General features: G+C 38.0%; 2 non-coding genes across 2 annotated transcripts; one reads left to right on the top strand and one right to left on the bottom strand.

The window, feature by feature from the left end:
- Positions 1–9,678: 9,678 nt before the first annotated feature.
- On the top strand, positions 9,679–9,753 carry MIR5681A (microRNA 5681a). The gene has a single exon (NR_049860.1). It is a non-coding gene; the product is annotated as a microRNA 5681a (primary transcript).
- MIR5681B (microRNA 5681b) lies at positions 9,686–9,745 on the bottom strand. The gene has a single exon (NR_049871.1). It is a non-coding gene; the product is annotated as a microRNA 5681b (primary transcript).
- Positions 9,754–14,320: the final 4,567 nt, after the last annotated feature.

Consider the following 14,320-nt stretch of genomic DNA (forward strand, 5'->3'; position numbering starts at 1 on the left):
TTCCATGTAGTTGTGTGGTTCTGAGTGAATTTCTTAATCTTGAGTTCTAATTTGATTGCACTGTGGTCTGAGAAACTCTTACGATTTCAGTTCTTTTACATTTGCTGAGAAATGTTTTACTTCTGATTATGTGATCAATTCTAGAGTAAGTGCCATATGGCAATGAGAAGAATATATATTCTGTTGTTTTGGGGTTGAGAATTCTGCCCTTCTTTGTTTTTATTGATCTTTGTTTGTTTAAAGTCTGTTTTTTTCAGAAACTAGGATCACAACCCTGCTTTTTTTCTGTTTGCCATTTGCTTGGTAGATTTTTCTCCTTTCCTTTATTTTGAGCCTATGTTTGTCTTTGCATGAGAGATGGGTCTCTTAAATATAGCATACTGATGGGTCTTGGTTGTTCATCCAGCTTGCCATTCTGTGTTTTTTAAATGGAGCATTTAGCTCATTTACATTTAAGGTTAGTATTATTATATGTGAATTTGATCCTGTTATCATGATGCTAGCTGGTTATTTTGCAGACTTGTTCATGGGGTTGCTTCATAGTGTCACTGGTCTGTGTACTTCAGTGTGTTTTTGTAGTGACTGGTAATGGATTTTCCCTTCCATATTTAGTGCTTCCTTCAGGAACTCTTGCAGTGCAGGCCTTGTGGTGATAAATTCACTCAGCATTTGCTTGTCTGGAACAGGATCTTATTTCTCTTTCATTCAGGAAGCTTAGTTTGGCTGGATATGAAATTCTGGGTTGGAAATTATTTTCTTTAAGAATGTTAAATATTGGCCCCCAATCTCTTTTGGCTTGTAGAGTTTCTGCTGACAGGGCCACTGTTAGTTTGATGAGCTTTCTTGGTGGGTGACCTGGCCTTTGTCTCTGGCTACCCTTAACATTTTTTCTTTCATTTTGACCTTGGCAAATCTGGTGATTATGTGTCTTGGGGTTGATCTTCTTGTGGAGTATCTTACTGGGATTTCTCTATATTTCCTGAATTTGAATGTTGGCCTGTTTTGCTAGGTTGAGGAAGTTCTGCTGGATAATATCCTGAAGTAAGTTTTCCAACTTGGTTCCATTCTTCCCATCTCTTTCAGGTACCCCAATCAGTCATAGCTTCAGTCTCTTTACATAATCCCATCTTTCTTGGAGGTTTTGTTCATTCTTGTATTAGTCCATTTTCACAGTGCTATAAAGAAATATCCGAGACTGTGTAGTTTATAAAGGAAAAAGGTTTAATTGACTCACAGTTCCACATGGCTGGAGAGACCTTAGGAAACTTACAATCAGAGTGCAAGGGGAAGCAAGCACCTTCTTTACAAGGTGGCAGGAAAGTGTGAGAGAGCAAGGGAAGGGAGAACAGTCCCTTATAAAGCCATCAGATCTCATTAGAACTCACTCATTATCATGAGAACAGCATAAGGGAAACTGCCCTCATGATTCAATCACCTTCCACCAGGTTTCTCCCAGAAAACATGGGGATTACAATTTGAGATGAGATTTGGGTGGGAACACAGAGCCAAACCATATCATTTTGCCCATGGCCCCTCCAAATCTCATGTCTTTCTTACATTTCAAAACATAATCATGCCTTCCCAACAGTAACATTACCCCAAAGTCTTAACTCATTCTGGAATTAACCCAAAAGTCCAAGTGCAAAGTCTCATCTGAGAGACAACAAGCCCTTTCTGCCGATAAGTCTGTAAAATCAAAAAGCAAGTTAGTTCCTTACAAGATACAATGGGTGTACAGACATTGGATAAATGTTCCCATTCCAAATGGGAGAAATTGTCCAAAACAAAGGGGCTGCAGGCCCCACGTTAAGTCCAAAATCCAGCAGGGCAGTTATTACATCTTGAATCTCCAAAATGATCTCCTTTGATTCCATGTTTCAAATATGGGGCACACTGATGCAAGGGGTGGGCTTTCACAGCCTTGGGCAGCTCCTTTGTGGGCTTTCATTGAGTGCCCTGTAGCTTTTTTGGTACACAGTGCAAGCTGTTGATGAAACTACTGTTCTGGGGTCTGGAGGATGGTGGCCCTCTTCTCACAGTTCCACTAGGCAGTGTCCCAGTGGGGACTCTGTGTGGGGGCTCCAACCTCACATTTCTCTTCCATGTTGCTCCAGCAGAGGTTCTCCATGAGGGTTCTGTCCCTGCAGCAGACTTCTGCCTGGACATCCAGGCATTTCTGTACATCTTCTGAAATCTAGGTGGAGGTTCCCAAACCTCAATTTTTGACTTCTGTGCACCTGCAGGCCGAGCACCACCTATAAGCTGCCAAGGCTTGGGGCTTGCACCCTCTGAAACAGTGGCCTGAGCTATATACTTTGGCTGCTGTTAGCCATGCCTAGGACATAGGGTGCCATGTCCCAAGGCTGCACAGAGCAGCAGGGGCCCTGGGCCTGGCCCAAGAAACCATTTTTTAAATGATGGTTAACAGACCTGTACTTTAACTATATTTAATATGTTCAAAAAATTTAAAAAATACAAAATAATTGGGAAATTTAGCAAAACACTGAAAAGCACTAAAAGAGCTAATGAAAATTCCAAAATGAAAAATATTCAGTGACTAAAATTAAGACTTCATGGGATGGGCATAACAACACATTAGAGAGAGTTGAAGAGGGAATTAGACTGTCAGAAGATAGATCGGAAGAAAATAGTTAGGCTGAAGTAGAGACAGAAAAAAGGGTGGAAAATTTAAAAAACAGCATTAGAGGTAAAAGGGCTATTGAGAAAAGTTTTTACATATATAGAATGGGAGTTGTAGAAATTAAAGTGTGAGAAAAAATGGGACAGATACAATAGTTGAAGAGGTAGTGAGTGAGGATTTTCCAAGACTTATCAAAGACACCCAGCTACAGACTTAAGAAGTGCTAGAAAGCTATATCAGAATAGTTAAACAAACAAACTACACTTAGGCACTGCATACTCAAATGTTTAAAAGTATAAAATAAAGAAAATCTTAAAAGTATTCATAGAAAAAGACAGAAGGACTTCAAAGGAGCAATAATAGACTGAGAGTTGGCTTCAACAACTCTCAACAAACAAAATGGAAACCAGAGGACAATGGCATACCTTCAAAGCACTGAAAGAAAATAACTGTGAAAATAGAATTCTACATCCAGCAAAAATATTCTTCAAACAGGTGAAATAAAGGTATTTCCAAATGAAGCTAAGAGAATTTCTTAACAATATACCTAGGCTAAATAAAACACTTAGGTGTATTTTTCAGACCGAAGGGAAATAGTCTCAGATGAAAGCTCAGAGATACTGAAAAGAAAGAAGAGCAATGGAAAAGGTAGATATGTGGGTAAGTCTGAGTGAATATTGGCTATATAAAGATATAATAGGCCAGACACAGTGGCTCACATCTGTAATCCCAGCACTTTGGGAGGCCAAGGCAGGTGGATCACAAGGTCAGGAGATTGAGAGCATCCTGGCTAACACAATGAAAACTCATCTCTACAAAAAACCCCAAAAATTAGTTGGATGTGGTGGTACATGCCTGTAGTCCCAGCTACTAGGGAGGCTGAGGCAGGAGAATCACCTGAACCCAGGAGGCGGAGGTTGCAGTGAGCTGAGATCTGCACTCCAGCCTGGGTGACAGAGTAAGACTGTCTCAAAAAAAAAAAAAAAAAAAAGACATAATAATGTCTGTGGTCCTTAAAATACATATTGAATTGAAAGGAACAATAGTAGCAAACAATTTAGGAAGGGAGTGAAGAATAATGTAAAGTGATGAAACTACTAATTTGTTTCAGGCATCTCTGCAGTGCTACCAATAGAACTTTCTTTCATGATAAAAATATTATATTCTATGTATGTGGTATCCAACATGCTGACACAAGTCACATGTGGCTATTGAACAATTTAAATTTGACTAATGCAACTGAATAATTGAATTTCTAATTTTCTTTAAGTTTTATTAATTTAAATTTAAATTGCCACACATGGCTAACGACTATTGTATTTGACTCGACAGCTCTAGAGTAACCACATACACATAAAATAATAGTAAAGTAACTACTAGGCTAGTGGAAAATGTTATCTCAAAATAATAAAATATAAAACAAAAACAATATAATCAAATATTGTATATAAAAATAATAACACATAAGGTAAGATACAAAGGAACCTAGAATAAGAGGGACAAATAAAAACAAATAATAGGATTCCATATGTAAAATAAAATATACCAGTAATTACATTAAGTGAACAAATTAGAAATAAAGATTGTCAGCCTAGATTTAAAAACTCTATGTTGCTTTTAAGAGGCAAACCATTAAACATAAGAACATAGCAAAGTCTAAAAGTAAAAGGGTAGAAAAACATTCACCATATAAAGACTAAAAAGCTAGCAGAGCTAAATTGATGCTAGACAAGATGTTAAGCTAAAATATTATTTGAGAAAAGAAAAGCATTTTATAATGATAAAATGTTTACTCCACTAGAAAGATATAGCAGTTCTAAATTTGAATGCATGTAATAACATAGACTCAAAATATACACAAAAGCTGACAGAACTAAAAAGAGAAATAGATAAATTCTCAAGCATAGAAGCTGATTTAACACCTCTCTTTCATTAAGTGATAAAACAGAAAAGTGGCAAGATTGGAAAATTTAAATAGCAAATGCAGATCATTTAACCACTTCTGGTGATGGGACCAGCTTAGAAATCTTTTCTCCAGGTTCCCACATGGCATTTTTAAGGGGGTATTTCTCATTTCTAACTGTGAGACACAGATTGCTGTTAAGCCATGCTCATCAGCCCTGACAGCTGATAATGGCATTGCAGCTTAATTTTTGTAGTTCTTTGCTTTTCTTTCAAAGTACTTTTCACAGAACTCTCATATCTGCAATGGTTATCTTTCTTTTGTAGGTTAGGAAATGTCAGCTTAGACACTAAATTACTGTCAGTTTCACGAATGATAAGTGTGTGTGATAATGCTAAGATCCAAGTCTTTTGACTCCAAATCTTTTGTTCTTCCTACTAAGATGTTGTAGAAGAGATGGATTGTTTAAAACATGTAATCTAACTTGCAACCCTCAATATTCAATAACTATCTGTAGCTCTTTGTTGAGCACCAGCCTCTTGCCTTCCTTGAAAGACTGCTGGGTAATGAAATAAAATGAACACGGAGTCTGAAGACCAGAGTCTAAGAACTACCTGCTGGTATTGGTCAAGAAACATAAATCGCCCTGATTCTCAGCTTCCTCATTGTTAAAGTAAGGGTGATATTGCCCACTTCACATAGAGTTATTAATAGTCTTAGAGGGATAAAGTATATATTTCCCAGGTTACCCAAAGAGATGGTAAAAATCACAAATCAACAGTTCTCTGGATTTACCATGACTTGCTCTATGAGATTCCTGGTGCTTTCAATTCTGGATGCCACTAGCAATGTCTCAGACTCTTTGTTGCTTAGTCTTTTTGAAAAATTATCAGAAGAATACAGGCATAAGTAATATCTAGGTCCTCCCTATAAGAATATTATTGTTCCATTTTCATAGGCTCTAGGTATGACATTAAACTAAAACAAAATTTTGAGGCAGTAATATCTAAAGGAGTAATAATCTATAATTTAGTGTGTGTGCTAAACTTATTTTTATGCTTTAAATAGAGGGTTACCCTAGGCTAATGCTTCTTAAATATGAACATGTGTACAGATTATCTTGGGATCTTGTGAAAATGCAGATTCTGATTCAATGGGTCTGGGATGGGAAGGCAATTCTGAATTTCTAACCAGCTCCCACGTTATACCAATGCTGTTGATCCAAGGAGCACACTAAAAAGTAAGATCCTATATGAATTTTAAAGAAAATAATTTGTCCTGGTAAGTGTTCTATTTTTTTCTGGTTAAGATGCTTCATTACAAATAATGCCAGCTTATTTCTGGTAATGTTAAATGAAAAGGGAATGTATTAGAAGGATACCACATAGCTCACAGCATTGATGGAGATGTTGGGGAACCATGTTCAAGAAAGTAGTAGGATAAAAGAGAGGTAAGGCATGGCCAAGATCATCTTAGGAAGTCTGTTTAAGACTCCACCACTAGGAACAGCTGTGCTAGACCCTCCCCACAGCAATGCTGGAGTCTTGGCTGCCATATATGTGACAAGTGATCTTTGAATGGCTTTGAACCTGTGCATCACTCTCTAAAGAGATTCAAAGTCCCAGGCTTGAGACACTGATTTACTATGCTGAAATCACAATCCTTCTCCCAGCTGCTAGAACTGCCTGCCTTTCCTTCAAGCAAGGTTCTGCTTCTTACCCATTTTGGTATTTCCAATAAATAGAAAGTATATTTGAACATTGGTATTGAAGCTCAAAATGGCAAATGTCACAACACTCAAATCTTAGAAAGGTAGGACCAACAAGAACTCACACAGTCCCAATGCATCCTTTTGAAGAATGTAATTTCTTGGGATGTTATGAAACTTGCTCAAGTTTTCATATGAAGTTAGTGAGAAGAAGTAAGACTAGAATTTTCAAATTATTTCCAATTTTCACCCTGCCCATTTCCTGAATCCTTTGAGGACTTTTCATTTGTTGTGTTAATTAATCATTTTACATATGTTTATGAGAAAAGTTGAGCAGATGGGAGATTTCAAAAGCCCATGCCATTTCATGGTCTGCTCTGTGGATTTTGGCGAAGGGAATTACTGTTATGAAAAAGACTGATAAACTGTGACAATACAGTAATAAAACTGGATTTATTTAACACAGAAACTTGCAATCTCTTTACTATATAAGTGCATTTAGTAGGAAGCTGGAAAAGATAAAAACAGGTAAAGAGAAATATATTTCTATGTTATGTTGAATAGGGTAAAATATTTTAAGTGAATGTACCTTTCATGGAGTGTAGATGAAATTTTGCTTTAAAAATTAAAAACTTTAAAAGTCAGAGGGAAAAATTTTTACAATGTTTCTTTAAGAATTATCAAATGAACTTTTTTTTTTCTTTTTCAAAAGGTACATAAACACACACTCACATACAACTATTTCCTTCATGGCTGAGTCTTAGAGATTCCAAGTTATTTTTGGTTGCCAGATTTTAACCCAGAGGAAGTTTTATGGCTGAGTTAAAACCCCCCCAAAAGCAACGGTTACAATGGAAATGCTGACAGAGTCCATGCCATGGCAACGTTTGTGAGTCTAGTTTTATTAAAACAATAAACAACTTTTGTTCAAAGTCAAGTGGATGTAAAAAACAAAAAAGCAAAAGAAAAAGGCCCCTTCCTGCATTCAATACCTAATCTCTCTGTTATTTTTTTTGCCTGTGTTTTGATCCTGAGCTTGCTGGGTCTCATATGCAATTTACTGGTTTGAAATCAACCTTGCACACCAGCTTCTTATAAAAAAGACAATGAAACATAAGGAGAGGGAGATCATGGCTGCATTGGCTAAAGTGGATACTAAGTGTCTACTCATTTAGGGCATTGGGTATACTTATAACTGATAAACGAATCTGTGTTTTACATTTCCTAATTGTCTTTGTATGCACTTTTGTGCCAGATTATTATCTAACAAATTATACTTGTTTCCTCTTTTGTTGCCAAGTAACACATCAAGGTCTAAATAATACCTCAGGTTTTACACACTGTACATGCTCCAGGGAGACCAGAAGGCTCACCTTGCACAAGGTGGTTAGCAGATGGGTGAAGCTGGTTAATGCTTCTCCCATTTAGTATCTACAAAAGGGAGCCTCAGTGACTCTGTGGGGTGTGGGGTCATGGGGAAAATAAGAGTACTTTATTCTTCTTGTCCCTTTTCTCACCAGAAGTGATTCTGTGCATAGTGTTTGCAAATAACATGAATCTAGTAGAAAAATAAGAACCATCCAAGAAACAGCTAGAATACAAAAAATAAATATCAATGAAGCCAAACTAAAATATGAAGGAAACCAAATTGAATATGCTGAAGTGCCCCCAAAAAGACATTTTTTAAAAAGCCTTTGCAATTACAGAAGGTTACTGAAAATAACAAAAGGAAATAAGATGTTTAAAAAGTAACGGTGAGCTGGAGGCAAAAGGGCAGTGAATTGGTGAGAAATTTTCCACTGCCCAGTGAAGTGCCTGAATCCAGCAGAACAAATGAGCCCAAATTTGCCGTGCTAATTAAATTATATGGGAGGCTTGGTGGTTACATCTTCCAGCTACCAAGTCCTGTCTGTTTGGACCAAGAATTCTCAAACCAGACTGAAAATCAGAATCACCTGTGTGCCTGGTCACACCCCAGAACAATTAAATGGAAGTTCCTGGGGTCTTGGGGATGAGATGAACATCAGTACTTTTTAAAGCTCCTAGGTGATTGCAGGGTGCAGCTGAAGCTATGAATCACTGACTTAGAGGGACCCAGCTGCCCTGGAAATATTGGCCTTTCAGCTGAAGAATAACTACAGATGTTTGTGGCAGACCATTTCCTCAAGGCAGTTTACTGAGCCCCATTGACTGTTCCCAGCAGTCACAATTGGGTTCTGTGGCTCATAGCCCATTGGTAGAATGTGTACAGCAGATGTTTGAATGACATTAACAAATGGAAGCCTCCAAATCTTTCCTTGTTTAACAAGTAACAGCAGGTCCTTGTTTAAATAGTGATCATTAGTGATCGACTTTAATCCTTCGATTATAAATCTCCCATTTCTTCTTCTCTTCTATAAACTAGCTGACCTTTGTGTGCACATTGTGGATGTGTGGATGGCAGCAAACTGGAATTTGGACTAATTGAGTTGTCAATCAGATTTCTGTGCACTCCATATCACGTAGTTAGTAAGACTGAAATTATGGAAGGTGGTTGATTATTCTAGACATCTGAAGGATTGTTCTGAGCTCAATCAATTTCTTCACCAGCTGTTCTCAGGGCCAAAATGCTGAAAACAGTGGATACCATTTGGGATATGGAAAGGCCAAAGTCAAATCCAACTTGGACTCGGCAAAATAGAAATAGTCCTTTTCCTCATGTACTTTTAAAGTTTAGTCACATTTTCACGATTATAAACTGTTACTTTGGGCAAAGGATTGTTTCCAAGAAGCCAATGAATTGCACATATACAAACAGGCTGTGTTTCGGATCCATTTGTAGGAAACATCTTCTCAGCCCTCTGCCTCTTATAACCCCTGTGGCTCCTTATTAATGCACCTGCAGGAGAGGCACACACTATGTCACTCAGCCCTGGCTGCACCCTCAGGCAGGTGGTGTGTGGGTGCTTTAGCAGCTCTTTGAAGAATGTGATGCAGAACCATGAGCTAATGAGGAGTGCTAGGCACTATCCACCTGCAACTGGAGCACAGTATACTGCTCAGCAAATGTCCACATCTAGCAAAGCGGCTGCCCTTTGTCCACACTCCAATTTAGACAGAAGGCAAATGAAAAAGGACACACACAAATTTTAGTTTTCATTCTCCTTGGAAACATTTCAAAAAACTAAATAAACAACTGCCTCCTCCTGTCCTCTACCTCCAGGCTCTTTGGGAGCAATCCCTTAAGCAATTGACGGTTCTTTGGGAGCAGAAATAAAGAGAAAGTGAAAATTCTGGCTTCCTTTTTGAACTACCTTAATCTGTGAGAGAAAAAAAAAAAACCCTAAGTGATATGATAGATGCAACAAGTCTATGTTTATCGTGATTTATTGTTCACAAAGGGCTTTATATAGATGATCTCATATATTCCTTACAACTTCCTTGTGAAGTTTTTGAAGAGTATTGCCACCCTTTCTAGTCCCTATTAGACTAGAAAGGGTGGCAATACCTCTTCCAAAAACTGAGACTTGTTGATATTAAGTGAGTTGCCTCAGCAGTCAATGGCACTTTAAAATGTGTTTTACCTATTTTGTAGGATTTTTCACATGTTGTTTTTAACAATGGGAAGGGGATAGCCACTAGAGATACCAATATACACTATTCTGAGCCAAAGAAGCCAAGTTAAAACATGCCTTCATGGCACTTGAATTCTTTATAAAGTAATTTTTGAAGTTGAATTGAGACTTCCTGTTTAGAAGCTTGATTATAAACTCTTGGCTAGTTCTCTGACTTGCACACTTGTGTTCTGCTATTCCCTGGTCCTGAGGCCAGCCTCAGTCCCCCAGGGTTTTCTATTTATAGACCTCTTTCCTCTTTACAATAAACCACTTATTACTTTGGGTCAACTTTCAACCAAACAAGTCTCATTCATATAGGGGTCCTAAGTGGCTTCATCCTCTTAAACAAAGGAAAACCAAGATGGAAACAAGACGGGGAGCATTACATTGACTTGTGAGCAGGTAGTGACCAATAACTAGTGGGTTTTCCCAAAAACACAAAACCAAGCAGATCAAGGTGAAAGGGGTGGGGAAGTGGTGCTGACAGTGGAGGAGAGGGTCTGAAATGATTTTCTTGCTTGTCTCCAAGCTCTCAAGATTTGCAGGTACAAGAGCTCATCCAGGGACCAAGTGCCATCTGTTCATTAGAGACCATGCACGCACCATGGGCCTTAGGAAGAAGAAAAGTCCACTGCAAAGGGATTCTAGAAAAACATAGGTATCGGGTCTTATATGCCATCTGGAAAATGCATAGTTTCCATGACTGTGGAAGTAAGAGGGTATCTCACAGGTCAAGACTGTCCAGGATGCTTCAGGGTTTGCTTGTAGTAAAAGTAATTTTTTTTTTTTTTGACGTGGACTCTTGCTCTGTCACCCAGGCTGGAGTGCAGTGGTGCAATCTTGGCTCACTGCAACCGCTGCCTCCCGGGTTTAAGCAATTCTCCTGCCTCAGACTCCCAAGTAGCTGGGACTACAGGTGTGCACCACCACGCCTGGCTAATATTTTGTATTTTTAATAGAGATGGGGTTCACCATGTTAGCCAGGATGGTCTCCATCTCCTGACCTCGTGATCTGCCCACCTTGGCCTCCCAAAGTGCTGGGATTACAGGCGTGAGCCATTGCACCTGGCCTAAAGTAATTTTTTTTAAAAGTTATTTGTTTTAAAACATTTTGTATTAATTACATTTATCGCCATGCTTCTGGAAAAAGGGTGAAAAAACACTTTGCACATTATCTGGGAAATTATATACAGTGTATTGCTGGAAGTAATGGGCTAAGGATCTATAATACAATATTTTTAGTAATTATGATAAAAGGAGAGAATATACACATTATAAGAAACAATACTTTTGGTATCATCTTTATGATAATGGTATTAGAATTTATTGTGAGTTCTGGGGATTCCTATATCTTTTATTTATTATAGTACTTTGAAGTTTTCTTCTAATTCTCTATACCAACTTCCAATTTAAATAAGAGAGAGACAACTAGACACTAGAACTAGGAGAGTTACAATCATTTAGTCAAAACTACAATTTTTATGAGAACTGAGGGTCAGGGAAGTTACATGATTTGCCCAACATCACACATCTTGTTAGAGGAAGACCTGGAACTAAAACTGAGGAAAAGATGCAGTGGATTCTTTTTCCTTTTTTGTGCATAAATTTCTTGAATCTTTTCAAATACGTTGCATGGAAACCACTCAGCAAGCAGGTAAGAAAGGGTGTTTGAAGTACAGGATTCTTTCAGAATGCTACAGCCACTCCAAGTCAGCAATGGCTGCCTCTGGCTGACCTTTAGGCAACTTTTACAATCCTGGCTGCCACCTCTTTGATTTTTTTGTGCAACTTAGTTGTCAGTTTAGCAGTTTATGAAGTACTAATATTAAATCACTCTTTTTTTTCCAGTAAAAGTAAAACAAAATATAAGGATTTAAGAATTCTATTTACCTATGTGTATCCCCATTATTCTGTAAACTTCATGAAGTCAGGAAGTGAACTATCTTGTTCACTGTCATATTCCTGGCACTTCTCACATATTAAGGGCTCAATAAATACTGATGTCTTTTGCAGATTTTTAACTACCTGACATGAAATTACCAGTAAATACTTGGGCATGCATTGAAAATATCTGACTATATGAAATGTTTCTCAGGTCTAGGGTAAATATACTTTTAAAAATCTCTCTAAAATGGCTAGCTAGTAAAAGCATTTTTATTTCTACATTTGTGTTTAAAATTTGAGAGTGACTTTTCTAGTAATGAGAAAAATGTTCACTTGTAGGCATGGTTTCATGTAGGACAGAGTTGTGTTTTTACAATTATTCAGTGACGACTCATTGATTTTGTTTTACAAGGTGGATTTTGCTTGCAACTTCATTTGATTTTAATAAAATTCCTATGAAATAGGTGAGATGGGTATTATCATCCCCTTTAGTTTATGTAATGGAAGGTTCAGTGACTAACTTAGACCATTTCCCACCAAAGAGGATTGAAAAAAATCCTGTCACTGGGGCTAAGGACACAGACCTTCTAACTCTAAATCCCATATACTTCCCCAAACTCCATGCTTTCTTTCCAGATAGAAACTATGGCCTTGGTAAATTACTCATTATACCTTGCTGCTTTTTAAGTGTATTAAAGATCACGGTCCTGCCCCTGTTCCACTGGAGGACTGTAGAGGTTACTCAATAGAGAAGGTCAAGTTGCTGGTAGCTTCATGGAACCTTCCCCCTTTGCTGTGAGGTCTCCTCCTTTAATACAAAATTTGGTGGCCTCTGTTATATGCCTCAGTATCAAATCTGCTTATGCAAAATTTCATATTCCTAAAAATCTCCAGATAGCAACAAGCTATATACATTGGTCTTGTAAAAAATTTATTGTAACCAAATGCTGGCAATAGAATTTGGACAGTTCTTCTGAATTTATGACAATACAATTTCAAATCAATTCAACAAATAATGTTGAGTACTGTCTATGATTAAGGTAGATCTTGTGTTTACAAACATAAGACACATTCCCTGTCTTTAGGAAATATGCAGTTTCATGGAAGAGACTAACCTGAACAATTAAACGTACAATGTAATACATGCTAAATAATCAGGATAACCAAGCTGCTATACTTGGTCAGATCAGGGGTTATTTTACAGGTGACACATTATCTGGGGTTTAAAGATGAATTGGATGGAGCGACCATCATTCCAGGTGAAGGAAATGGTGTAAGCAAAGGCATAGAGGCATAATGATGCAAGGCTTTTAGAGAAATGGTAGAAGCTATTGTAGTTAGGTTATACAATTTTTAGGAGGAAATGATGGGAAATGAACATGGGCAAGCATATTGGACTAAAGTTTGGAGTCCTTGCATATCAGATCCTATTTGTGCTTATGGTTCAAATATTCTGGGAAATCTGGTGGACAGATGTAGGTGGTAGGACTTAAGCACCTCAATGATTACAAGCTGAAGTTCAGGGCTGTGGACTATGTGTGATTCAGAGGCAGCCATGTCATATTAATAATGTAACTTTAGCAGGAGACCAATCTATGATACAAGGACCATAGAGACCCTTACCGGTTTATCTATAATAAATATGATTAGACAGGCCGGGCGCGGTGGCTCACGCCTGTAATCCCAGCACTTTGGGAGCCCGAGGCGGGCGGATCACGAGGACAGGAGATTGAGACCATCCTGGCTAACACGGTGAAACCCCGTCTTTACTAAAAAATACAAAAAATTAGCCGGGCATGGTGGCGGGCACCTGTAGTCCCAGCTACGTGGGAGGCTGAGGCAGAAGAATGGTGTGAACCCGGGAGGCGGAGCTTGCAGCGAGCCGAGATGGTGCCACTGCACTCCAGCCTGGGCGACAGAGCAAGACTCCGTCTCAAAAAAATAAAAATAAAAATAAAAATAAAAAAATAAATAAATAAATATGATTAGACAAATCACCTAATGCAGGGTTTATTGACTTGAATATGCATGGAAATCACCTATGGAGCTTGTTAAATGCAGATTCTGATTCAGTAAGTCTGGTCCCAAGTTAAGCTACTGGTCCATGGATTGTGCTTTGAGTAGCCGGGACCTTCTGCACTGAATAAAAACCCAGGTTTTTGTGAGTCCTGTGTTCTAGACCTAGTGCTCTTTTGCATTTTGTACATAGGGCAAATTATTTAACTTTGCTGGATATCTTGGCTGTCAGGCAATTATCATTTTAAGAAGACTGACATTAATACAAAAAGCTTACTTAACCTCAATGATCATGACAATTAACTCTACCAAGATCTTCCAGCAAATGATTATAAAGTACTAGAGTAAATGTAAGACAAGTGACATGATTTAAAATAAGATATTTTTCTTGGAAGTAAACTTTAAGGCACTGAAACAATGAAAGAACTTTATTTTTTAAGCTATGTCTTGTGTAGACCAAAAGCTGCATCTGATAAAAGAGTTAGAAAATGGACCCTTTCTGTCTAAGAGATTTAGATTTTGCCTGGAAAACTAGAGTGTTAATCGTGTCATTACTGGGAAAAGGTGTGGAA

The sequence above is a fragment of the Homo sapiens genome, chromosome 8 (genome assembly GCF_000001405.40).
Source record: "Homo sapiens chromosome 8, GRCh38.p14 Primary Assembly".
Classification (NCBI taxonomy): domain Eukaryota; kingdom Metazoa; phylum Chordata; class Mammalia; order Primates; family Hominidae; genus Homo; species Homo sapiens.